Source organism: Homo sapiens, chromosome 4, assembly GCF_000001405.40.
Source record: "Homo sapiens chromosome 4, GRCh38.p14 Primary Assembly".
Lineage (NCBI taxonomy): Eukaryota > Metazoa > Chordata > Mammalia > Primates > Hominidae > Homo > Homo sapiens.
Window position 1 is genome coordinate 149,424,272 of NC_000004.12, and position 12,861 is coordinate 149,437,132.

General features: G+C 33.2%; 1 protein-coding gene across 15 annotated transcripts in view; it reads right to left on the reverse strand.

Annotated features, from left to right (window-relative positions):
* The window catches only part of IQCM (IQ motif containing M), a 464,135-nt gene that overhangs the window by 72,563 nt on the left and 378,711 nt on the right, over positions 1-12,861 (reverse strand). For 8 of the 15 annotated variants that reach the window (NM_001378180.1, XM_017008904.3, NM_001363507.2 and 5 more), the window contains one exon: positions 9,125-9,286. In NM_001378180.1, the coding sequence (NP_001365109.1) occupies positions 9,125-9,286 (162 nt within the window). Of the gene's footprint in view, positions 1-5,660; positions 5,759-9,124; positions 9,287-12,861 lie in introns of those variants that run through there. The other 7 variants (NM_001378184.1, NM_001378181.1, NM_001363509.2 and 4 more) reach the window with 1 other exon arrangement.

The window sequence follows — 12,861 nt, forward strand, 5'->3', positions numbered from 1 at the left end:
GCTATATTTTACTTTGATGTAAACATATTCTTTTTGTCATAGTTTAACAGCAAAATCAAAATAAATAAGATAAATGTATATTTATCAACAAAGAACAATATAAAAATAAATAAAGCTTAGTTTTAAATTGAGGAATATGGCATAACATATGGAATTTCAGAATAATATTTTTAAGTCTCAAACTTTTATTACATTAAAAAATAAATGTGCATCAAAATGTGTGGAATATGCAGAAAAATTAGAAACTTCTGTTATATTAAAACAGTACATAAAGTCCACTGGATTCACAAAATCTAGATATTAAAGTTTATATATTCTTAACTCATTTTATGTAACTATATGAGTATATTATACATGATATACTATTCTGTGATCTTTTTTCATTAAAATTTATTTTTCATATTTTACTACAAATATTCAATGACATAACTGTAATGGTCACATGGAATTCCATCTTCTTTATGAATCATAATTTATTTAACTATTCCCCTATTGCTGGACATTTGCATTGTTTCAACATTTCTTTTCACTACAATGCTGTAATTATCATCCTTATAAATAAATCCATATGCATTATTTTCTTATGATTATTATACACACCTCACTAAATTCTAAAAGAATATACTGATTATAATTTAATAGCTTCTTGATGATTCAATATCATCTCCATCAAAACAAAGCATATTTCTTGCAGTTTAATGTGGAAATGTTTGCTCTAGAGTTAGAATGAAATCCTGATTGTACCATTCAGTAGCTGCATGACTTCAAGCAAGTTACTTAGCCTCTTTAGGAAATAATATCTCTCTCTGTAAAATGAGCTTGATAATAGCTATCATATAGATTATGAAGATAACATGAGAAAATGCACATAAAATGTATAGCTCTGAGTCTTATAAGAGTATAAAGTGAATAAATATTAACTTTACATTAATTATACAATTTTGTCATCATAGTAATTTTATCCATCAGGGATTTCCAGAGGAACAGATCCAATAGGCTATATAGAGATATACATAAAGAAATTGATTATGAAGGACTAGCTCATGCCATTGCAAAGACCAAGAAGTCCCACAGTCTGCTGTCTGTAACCTAGTGTCCCAGAGAAGCTAATGGTCCAAACCCAAAGGTCTGAGAACTAGGGGAGCCAATGGTATAAGTCCCAGTCTGAGTCCAAAGGACTAGGATCTTGGGGGTTGATGGTGTAAGTCCTGGTTCAAGTCCAAAAGTCCAAGAACCAGGAGCACTGATGTCCAAGGCAGGAGAAGATGGATGTCCTAGCTCAAGTAAATAGAGGAAATTTGCCCTTCCTCCACCTTTTTTTCTATTTAAATCCTCAACAGATTAGATGATGACCACCTGCCTCAATGAGGGAAATCTTCTTTATCTAGCCTACTGATTTAAATGCTAAACTGGTCCAGAAACACCGTCACCCAGAAATAATGTTACCAGCCATCTGGGCATCCCTAAGCCCAGTCAAACTGACAAATAAAATTAACCTTCACAACAATTATATTAAGATACAAGGAACTGTGAAGCTGTCCAACCCTGTTTACCCCTTGCTCAAAAAACTCCAGTCATAATAGATTTCCGTTTCAAACTATTATACAGATTTATTTTATAACTATTAAATATTACTTCAAGATCTATCTACATGTATATTTTATACTGCCAGATGTACTCATTCTCTTTTCCTAGGCATTATACTTAATTGCTTCTATTATATCAACGAACATGCAATCCCTATTGTTTTTCTTTATGCCCTGTTTCTTGAGTGTAACATTTCCCCACACTCCTAAGAATATTCTAAGAGTTCTACAGCCATGGTAACAAGTTAGAACTAGAACTTGTTTTGAACCTATTTAATTAGTCCATTATATTTCTATAATCATGGTGATAAGAAACTCTCAGAACCGGTTTTAAATATCAACCAGTGACAGCTAAACTTAGTAAACACACTTCTGAAAGCCAACCAGTCAGTGGGAGTTCCTGGTTTTCAAAGTTGACCACTGAACAAAAGTCTTATTCTAGTAACACATTTCTGAAAGCTAATCAGCAACTCAGTCTTTCCTGTGTAACCACACTCAGCATCCAGTGTCATTTTACTTTCACTGCTAAAAGTCACTAATCACTGACCTACATGCTTTCTATACTAGTTATCTACTGCTGTGTAACAAATTACCCCCAAACTAGAGGCATAAAACAACAAAAATTTATCTCACACCATTTCTGAGAGTTAGGAATCTGGGTAGCTTTACTAGGTGGTTCAGGCTCAGGGGCTATCATGAGACTGCCTTCAAGCTCTCACTAGAGCTGCAGTTATCTGAAGGATTGAACTGGAGCCTCCATTTCCACATTGTATTACTCACATAGAACTCAGTGACTCATTTGTGTAGGCAGAAGGTCTCAGTTCATCACCGCATACACCTCTCTAAGAGCTGCTGGAGTGTCCTCATGACATGGCAGCTAGCTTTCCTCAGAGCAGCTTACCCAAGGGAGAGCAAGGAAGAAGCCAGACTCTCTTTTATGATCTGGACTCAAAAATGAAGTACCTGCTATATTCTATTGGTAACACCTGATACACTATGAAGAAAAATACACACAAGCATGAACCAGGAACCACATCCTTGGAGCCATCTTGGAGACTGGCTACCACTCTTCCTGAAAACCCTATATAAGATCAACAGCCTGCTTTGCTCAGAGACCATGCTTAACCAGTATAATGCCCCCTTATTTAAATAGATAGTAAATTCAGATTTGTGGGTTTTATTTCAGATACTGAGAGTTAGTGTCATCCTTTTTTTTAATTTCTAGATGTTCTTCCTAGATTTTTTGAAGTTCCTCATTTGAAAGCATTCTATTTGACCCAGGAACCAACAACAGTGCTCACTGCACCTACTGCAGCCAAAACTCTGATGTTGCTTTATATCTGCTAGAATGTGAACATTTCTATGGCAGGTATTAAGCCTAAGTTATTTCTCAATCTTTATTGCCAAGTATATAGTAGACACTCAGTTAATACTTGTTAAATAAATAGATGCAGAAATCATAATGAAATATTAATCTTCCAAATTTCACCTCACAAAGTTAAGCAGTATTGAGTGGTGGATTGTTGTAAATGTACAACTCACATTTTCTTTATCTAATAGACCTGGTGCCATCTTAATATTTTCTTACTCAAATGTTTCCAACATGCTTGGTGAAGTTGGGCTTGGGAGGTAGGAGACACAGCTCTGATTTTATCATTGAAGTTTAAGGAAAAATGGAATTCACATAGAACACAACCATTTCACTAAATGAGAAAGACCTAATTCATCACCCTAATACATTTTTTGTAACTTGAACATAGTCAAAAACTTTAGCCAGGTACAATATTGCAATAGTTTTTATCTTACTCTTGGATGATTCATGTAAGTATAGCAAGTGTTGAAAGTTTGAACCAACTCAGCCATGTAAACATAAAACATTTCTCCCATCAACAATTACAATTACCATGAAAACACATTCACATCCATTTGCAACTACCAAAGAAAATCAAAAGGACTTTAGAGAACATGACATTGGAGGCTGATGGCAGTGTATAGTGGATAAAATAAGGGATGAATGAGGATATACCCAAACAACTTTTCAAGTCCTATTTGGCATAAAATATATTTTTCAGTGACTATATTATTCATCTCGAGCAAGCAGATACTCTATAGGCAAAGCATGACATTGACCTAAACATAGTGCATTTAAACTTATCCAAATTAGAATAGGCCATTTTGTATACTCGAGCAGATATAAATGATATAAAATATATAGAGCTCCTTTCAAATGATAATGTAAGTTTTTTACAGTAATCCTACAGAACACTTCAAAGAATAGCTCAAAATTAAGCTTAGTTTTTTACCAGGATAGCAAATTTAAGAAGGCAAAATAAATTACATACACATCATATAGTTACAAGAAAATATGACAAAAAATTAGATTAAAAAATATGGGTAGAAATCCAAGTAAATTCTGGGATGCGTATTTTTAAAAGCCTTTAAAAAAAATAAGCAGAACTAGTAGTAGCTAAGATTATATTCACAATAAATCAAACATGTATTGGATTATCATGTTGTATTCTGAGCTTCATCCCTTAAAAGAAATGAGAAAATTGGAAAAATGTTCAGAGAGAAGTGCCAAAAGGGATCAAGGATTAGGAGGGATTCTGAAGAATACATTAAATAGCCCATTTTAGAAAACAGAGAGTCATAATAATCTACGCATAGCCTTTATTTTGTAGCTAGTGAATAAGTTTCAACTGCAATAAAGGATATATAAGAAAGTCTTATGTTACAAAGTAGAAAATTCTTAAAGAATATCACCAAAAATCAGCCTTGACTGTCAAGGATGATTATCTAAATTGCTGGAATCTTTAAAGCTAAGATAGATTCTAATTTAGCAAATGTGTATCAAGTCTTGACTAAAGACAGTGAAGCAAACTGAATTGCGTAAAAAATACCTTGTACTTTTTTAATGGGAAAAAAACAGTAATTAGGCCAAGAAATCAGGTTCTAGTATTAATCACATCATTTAAATAACCATGTATTCTAAGGGCAAGTAAAATATATTATATGAAGTGCTGGAAATGATATGAAAAAGAAGTAGTAGAACTAGAGGTCGTTGATATTACTCAGCATCTGAACTAATGAGAAACTTGACAGTAATATAATAACACCATTTCAGTTAAAATGGACCATTGCTTTGGGAAAGTAATTTGATCATTCATTTGTATTCCCTAAGTGATTTTCTAGAAAGATAATAGCTAATCCACCCCTTCAAGGTATCTCCATTAGAATTCCAAGAATTATAGGCCTAAAATGCTCCTTAATATAATCTACAGCTTCAAGGTTAAAAATTTGCCAAAGTCACAAAAGCTTAACGAAGGAGAGAAACAAGTTGAGCATATTTGTGACAGTCCAGAGGGTTGGGAGCTTGAGGACAGACAGTGCATAAGGAAAGACAACGGAAGATAAGTTAAAAGACTAACTTTCCAAAATAGCCTTTCCAAAAATAAGTGTGACAAGCCATATATTCCTGGAAAAAAATTAAAGACTTGTTTTTTACTTGGTCTAAGATTATAAAATTATAATCTAGAAGAAATTCTTTGTGCCTATTAGCAAGTTGAAATTATGACTTATGCAGCATTCCAGTTACAATCAAGCCACTACTCTAGGAAATATGGGATATAAAAATATGGATGTACCAGGTATTTTTAGAGAATGTATGGTCCTAATACTAGGTAATTTGTTAGCAACCCAAGCCATTTATGGAGCATTCGTAACTCTATTTACTCCTTGGTTCTTGCTGTTGATAGATCTCTGAATTTACAGAGTGAAATCAATAAACAGGAGTACCTACATTGTAGAGTATTAATGTTGGAACACATAATAAATTCCCAGAGCTATCTTCCCTAAAATGTTTATAGTTAAGGAGTTACTCAGTTTTAGGAAGCACCTCTGTAATAGACTAATCTTTTTCAAGACAAATGTTGCAAATCTCTTGTCAGTCAATTTAATAACCATGTAATTCAAAAAGATTCAAGGCTCTGGTAACTTACCCAAAGAAAAAGAAAAAAATCAGCAAAAAGCTTGGAAGACAGAGTTTGAAAATAACAACGTAATGCCACTTGCATATTTCCTTTTAATTTGTTTATTTTAACAAAGTGCAAATAGACTCTAAACAACAAACACAAATAGATATAGGTCACCTTCTGATAATTTCAGGTGGAAAACTGCAGAGAAAATAAATAGCAGTCAGGTTCTTAATTCATCTTATTAAACCCAAAACTTTCAACTTAAGTTATTCTTTCTCATAATTTTCCTTCTTTTTTGTTCTCTCTTCTTCCTCTAGGCTATTATAGAACTGAGCACTTAAATATGCCTTTGTATGCACCAGCCCAGTGATATTACACTGAATTTGTGACTCTCTTTAAGTAAGTTTTAAAATGCAAGTTTTAAAGCTTCAAGAGGAAACATCTTTTAAAAATACTACCAAAATAAAAGCTTCCCTACCTTGGTTCTTTAATATTTATATTTTTAACTTTCTTTTTATAGATTTATTGAGGCATAAAATGTATACAATAAACTGCATAAAGTGTACTATTTAATAACTTTTTACTTTGTACATCCATGAAATGATAACCACAATCAAGATGATAAACATTTCCATCACTCTCAAATTTTTTAACCCATCACCTCTCATTTCTACTTCCAGTCCCCATTCCCAGGTAGCCACGGATTTGTTTCTGTCACTACTCAGTTTGCATTTTCTAGTATTTTACATAAATGGAATCATATAGTATGTACTCTTTATTGTCTGGCCTCTTTCACTCGCATACTTATTTTGAGATTCAGCCTTGTCGTTATATGTATCAAAGGTATCCAGGTTTTTCTTTTATACTGCTGAGTATTCTACATGGATATATCACAATATGTTTACCTATTCATCTGTAAGTAGTTATTTGAGTTGTTTCTATTAGTTTGAGTCTTTTACAAAAAGTTTTATGAATATTCATATACAAGTTTTTGAATAGACATATACTTTCTTTTCTTTGGGATAAAGATGTAGAAGTGTAATGCCTGGTTGTATGGCAGATGTATGTTTAATTTTATAAAAAATTGACCAGGCGCAGTAGCTCATGCCTGTAATTTCAGCACTTTAGGAGGCTGAGGACGGGCAGATCACTTGAGGTCAGGAGTTTGAGACTAGCCTGGCCAACATGGTAAAACCCCAAATCTACTAAAAAAAATTACAAAAATTAGCTGGGTGTGGTGGTGGGCACCTGTAATCCCAGCTTCTTGGGTGGTTGAGACACAAGAATCACTCAAACTTGGGAGACAGAGGTTGCAGTGAACCGAGATTATGCCACTGCACTCCAGTCTGGGCTACAAAGTGAGATTCTCTTTCAAAAAGAAGAAGAAAAGAAAATAGATAAATAAATGCAAAATATTTTGCAAAGTGTATTTACCATTTTATATTTGTACTAGCATGATATTAGTGTTCCAGTTGCTGCTCATCCCTGCTGACACTTGATATGGCCAGTCTTTTTAACTTTAGCCATTTTTGTAGATATATAATGATATCTCACTGTGGTTTAATTCACGTTTCCCTATGACTAATGACGGTACACATCTTCTTATGGACTTTTTGGCCATTTATATAAATGCTTCTCTTTTAATTTTGTGTTTATTTTAAAACATTTTACTTATAGTAAAGTTCATTCCTTTTGGTGTACAATTCTATGGGTTTTGACTTATTTATAATTATGTCATCGCTATCATAATCAAGATACAGAATGGTTCCATCACCCTAAGAACTCCCTCATGCTGCCTCTTTGTAGTAAAACACTACCATCAAATTTAAGCCCTAGCAATCACAGGCCTGATCTTTGTTCCCATAGGTTTGCTTTTTCCAAAGTGCCACTTAAATGGAATTATACCATAGCCTGGGACTCTGGCTTCTTTCACTTAATATGATGCATTTGAAATTCATCCATGTTGTGTACATCAATAGTTCACTCCTCCAAATCTGCTGAACCAAATTTTTATGGATGAACCAAATTTTGTTCATTCATTCACCAGTTGAAGAACAGCTGTGTTGTTTCCAGCTTTTGGCAACTTTGAATAATGTTGATTATATATATATATATATATGTGTATGTGTGTGTACGTATATATGTTACATATATGATATATTGTATATATTGCCTATTTATATATATTGTGTATATATATGCTTTGTGTAAATAAATGTTTTCTTTTATTTTGGGTAATTACCTAGGAAAAGAATGGCTAGGCTTTATGATTAGAATATATTTAATTTATAAGAAAGTATCAAAATATTTTCAAAGTGGCTGTATTATTTTGCATCTCCACCAGTAATGTGTGAGTGTTTGAGGTATTCCACCTCCTTGTTTGGTATCATTAGATTAAAAAATTATCTTAGCCTTTCTAATAAGTGAGAAGTAGTATTTCACTGTAGTTTAAATTTGCATTTCCCTGATGACTAATGATGTTGATCATCTTTTCATGTGCTCATTTGCTATCTATATATCTTCTTTGACTATTTGGTTTTGCAAAACTGCGAAGTTAATTTATAGAAAAATAGTCTTTTCAACAAATACCTCTGTTGGAAAGTTTGTGATATCAAAGTATTAAAAAAGAACTTCAATTTATATCTTGAGCCATATACAAAAATTAACCCCAAATCAACCACACACTGAAATATAAACCTAAAACTATAAAATTTATAGAAGAAAACCTTATTACTACAATCCAGGCCAACACTTATTGGATATGGCAGCAAAAGCATGCAATAAAGAAACACATAGTAAATTGTACTTTATCAAAATTGAAAACTTCTGCTCTTCAAAAGATACTATTAAAAGACAGAAAGGACAAACTATACACTGGGAGAAAATATTCACAAAGCATATATAGGTTAAATTATTTGTATTCAGAATATCTAAAGGATTCTCAAAACTTAATAAACATTAATAAATAATATGAAAATAATCAAAAGTTTTGAATAGACACTTCAACAAAGACATACAAATAGCGAATACTTGAAAAGAAGCCAAATAACATTATTTACTAGAGAAATGCAAATTAAAACCACAAAAAGCTACCAATATACATGTATTAGATTGGCTAAAATTAGAAAGACTGATTGTACCAACTGTTGATAGAGCTGTGGAACAAATGCAACTCTCATATCTCTGCAGTTGGTGGTAATATGAAATGTTATAATGACTGGAAAACAGGTTAGCCAACAGAAATGCAAACACATGTCTAAACATAGTCCTGAACATGAATGTTCATAGCAGCATTACTGGTAGTAACGCAAAAGTGAAAACAACCCAAATTTCCATTAACTAGTGAATAGACAGGCACAATGTAGTTCCACTATTCTAGCGGAGGCACCAAAGCATAAAATAGCCCCTTTTTAAATTGCAGGCAGAGTATCTAAGAAGTAAAGAGAACATTCTATAAGATCTATGTATCATCCCACATCATCTAAGTGATGAATACAGTTATATATTTAATATTATAAGGTATCACTTCTTCTTTACAATAAAAAATAAGGTTCAATATCTTACCTATATATCTATAACCTTCTTCCCCATTTACTATGGGTCTCAACCAAGTCGACTTGAGTAGTGTACTGTCAGGCACATGTGCACCTTCAGGAGGATAGAGTGTAAATAACATTTCAATTGCTTTGGACTTTTTGATTAGTTCAGAATATTTTTCTTTGCCATCTATAAAGAAAAGATAAAATATATAAAATTTTAGACATTTTACAGACTGTCATACTTGCTTCTTTTAAGGGATGCAAATTAAAAACTAACATTTGGATACAACAGGTCACACTGAAAACATGTCTTTTTTTTTAGTCAAAGTTACTTTACCAAAAATCTTCTTGTTAATTCCAAGCAAAAACTAAAGAGTAAGGGCTTTACTAATACCGTCTTAAACCACTATCAGCTTGAAGCAGTATTGTTAAGGCTGTGAAAAAAAATAAGATACCCAACGAACAGCATTCACATTATAGATTCTATAACATATCCATATATTCTTACTTTTAATTTCTATTTAACAATGGAATCAGACTAATCTGACAAAAATGTTGAGTAAATATAGAGTTCCATATATTGGAACTACTAAAATAATTAATATTCCTAGGCTATGGTTTTTAAGAAAATATAAAATGCATATTGCTGTGACTGAATTATTTTTATCTGGCAAACATTTGTATAGCACATATTATGTGCAAAGGATTATTCCTAGTGCTTTAAAATATTAACATATTTAATTTTCATAACATACCTGTAAGGTAACTCCTATTATTATTTCCTTTTACATGTACAAACTGAGACCCAGAGAAGTTAAATAACTTGCCTAAATTTCACAGTCTATAAATGATGCAAGTAGGCTTCAGATACCTAAGGAAGCTCTTATTTGCAAATGAATCTTTGTCAGCTGAACATGACCTGTATTAACTAGTAGCTGAGAAAGCTGGAATTAAACAATAATTTAAATTGCACAGCGAAAAATCTCTGGTATGCCCATTGGGCCTCCAGTTTGTAATTCTAGTTTTTGGTTGATAAGCCAGGGTCCTAAAATTCAACAAAGCAGTCTCCTGAGGACTTAAAGTGATTCTGCCTAGAAACACTTTAAAGAAAAGAGAGACACTAATGTAAATCTCCACTTATAACCCAATTACATATATTTCCCTCCTTTCCTCTTAGTCTCCTTTATTTTGTTACATGTCATATTTTCTGGCACAGTGAATATAAGGCCATATGACATGATTTGATGGCAAGCAGTGTACCAGGTATCCATCTATTGCCTCACAGATCCAAATCCATCCTTTACTGTCCTGCTTGTGAGGCTAGAACACTTCTTCCTCACAATATGGCATGATTTTAAGTATAAAACAAATTGGGCAATGGAGAGAACTAGAGGATGAATGGGTTCTTTCTGGATCTGGTGGGTCTCTCAGAAGGCTCCTGCAACTTCTCTGGCATCTCAGAGGGCACTCCCCTCCTCCCATCACTGGGCGCTTCCTAGATAGTTCCACCAGTGCAGCACCTTCCTATGAACGGCTTCCCACTGAGTTCCACAATGTGACATCACCCTACAGAGTTTGCCCCAGATCTCCAGAGTAGCTTCTCCATGAGTGCCACTAGAATGCCAGCTCCGTGTACTCCACCATTCACTGACTCCCCATGGGTGGACTTTGTAAACATTTGTTCTTTCCTCAGGTGCTCTGCCTCAGACCAAGGGGTCCCTATATCTGCTCTTGTCAATTATTAGAGTTATTTTACCCCTTAGTAGAAAATCACATTTACTCCAATCTCTGTCATAGTTAATAACTACTATATTAGACTTTTCCTGCTTAAATTACTATGTTGTTTCTATCTGCTAAGTGGACCCTAACTGATACAGACAGAACTGGGTTCTAATTCTTAATGGGCTTTGAAATATAGTCATGTGCTGCATAACAACATTTCAGTAATGATGGACCAGATACAAAACGGAGCTAAAATGCCTAGTGAAGTCCTGGCTGTGGTAACATTGTAGCACAATGAATTACTCACATGTTTATGATGATGCTGGTGTAAATAATGTTACTGCACTGCCAGTAATATTAATGTACAGAACATGCAACTATTTACATTACATTTATTATCATAAATGGCTGTTAGTGGTTTCTGTATTTACCATACTATAATTTTTAACTTTATGTTACAGTGTACTCCTTCTACTTATTAAAAAAAAAAAAAACAGTAAAACAGCCTCAGGCATGTCCTTCACGAGCTATTCCAGAAGAAAGCATTGTTATCATAGGAGATGGCAGCTTCATGCTGCTATTGGCCCTGAAGATTTTACAGTGGGACAAGATGTGGAGGAGAAAGACAGTGAATATTGACGATCCTGTGTAGGCCAAGGCTAATGTGTATGTTTGTGTGTTTATTTGTAATAAGAAGCTAAAAAAAAACAAAAAATATAAACAAATCCTAAAATAGGGCTTACAGAATAAGAATGCAAACAAAGAATATATTTTTTTACAGTTGTACAATCTATTTGTGTTTTCAGCTAAGCATTATCACAAAATGTCAAAAAGTTACAAAGAAATTTAAAAGTTTATAAGGTAAAATATAATAAGCTAAGGTTAATTTTTTATTGAAGAAAGAAAACTGTTGTTATAAAGTTAGTGTCGCCTAAGTGTTCAGTGTTTATAAAGTCTACAGTAGTGTACAGTCATGTCCTAGGCCTTCACATTCACTCACCAACTCACCTAGAGCAAATTTCAGTCCTACAAGCTCCATTCATGTTAAGTGCCCTATATAGGTGTATCATGTTTTGTTTTGGATACTGTATTTTTACTGTACCTTTTCTATGTTTAGATGTGTTTAGATACACAAATCCTTACCACTGTGTTACAATTATTTACCTATATTTTTCATATGCTTCAATATCAGGTCAAATAAAATGCCTACACTAAAATCTAAGTAGTGGTGAATATAGAACTGCCACTTTCTCCCACTAGCTTATCCTGATTGAAGACTAATAGAAACACATGAAGTCAATGGAGTGAGTGTTGAATTTGCAAGGATAACATAAAGATAAATGTAACATTAGACACATATCGAAGGTTTGTAGCTTAGAGTCTTGCTAATTCCCCATTTCCAATTGATAGTGTCAATGGAGCCTTGGAACTTACACAAACTTAAATGATTGTACCTTCTTTCATAATTGCATTGTTAACTAAAAATAAACATTTTCTCATTTCAAAAGGCATATAGCTGGTAAAACTCTCTTCTTTATATTTCATTACACATGTCATCCCAAGATAAAAGCAGGAATTTAATTTGTTTCTGATATTAATAATTTTTGCTGTTTATGGACTGCTTCTTTTTCGATATACTAAGTCAATATTGCCATAAGGGATTTAGATGTAGCAATACACTACTCTTAGAACTCAAAAGAATAAGAGCTCTTCCTTACCCCTACCTCACCAGGCCACATATGCAATATCTGAAGTTTTTTAAATTAGCAAATGTATATAACATAGTTGCCAGTATTTATTGAGAGCTTAGTATACAACAGGTGTGCAAAGCAGGTTATATACATTTGCTAATTTAATTCTAAAATCAGAATATGTTTAATTTGCTGACAATCCTATGAGGTCAATATTATCATACATCACAGCTCAAGATACTGAAGCATAGGGAGGTTACAGGGCATTTTCAATGCCTCCTAGCTGGTAAGTGGTGAAACCAGAATTTATTCTCTATTCTGTCTAACTTCAAAGCCTTTCTTTTAAACC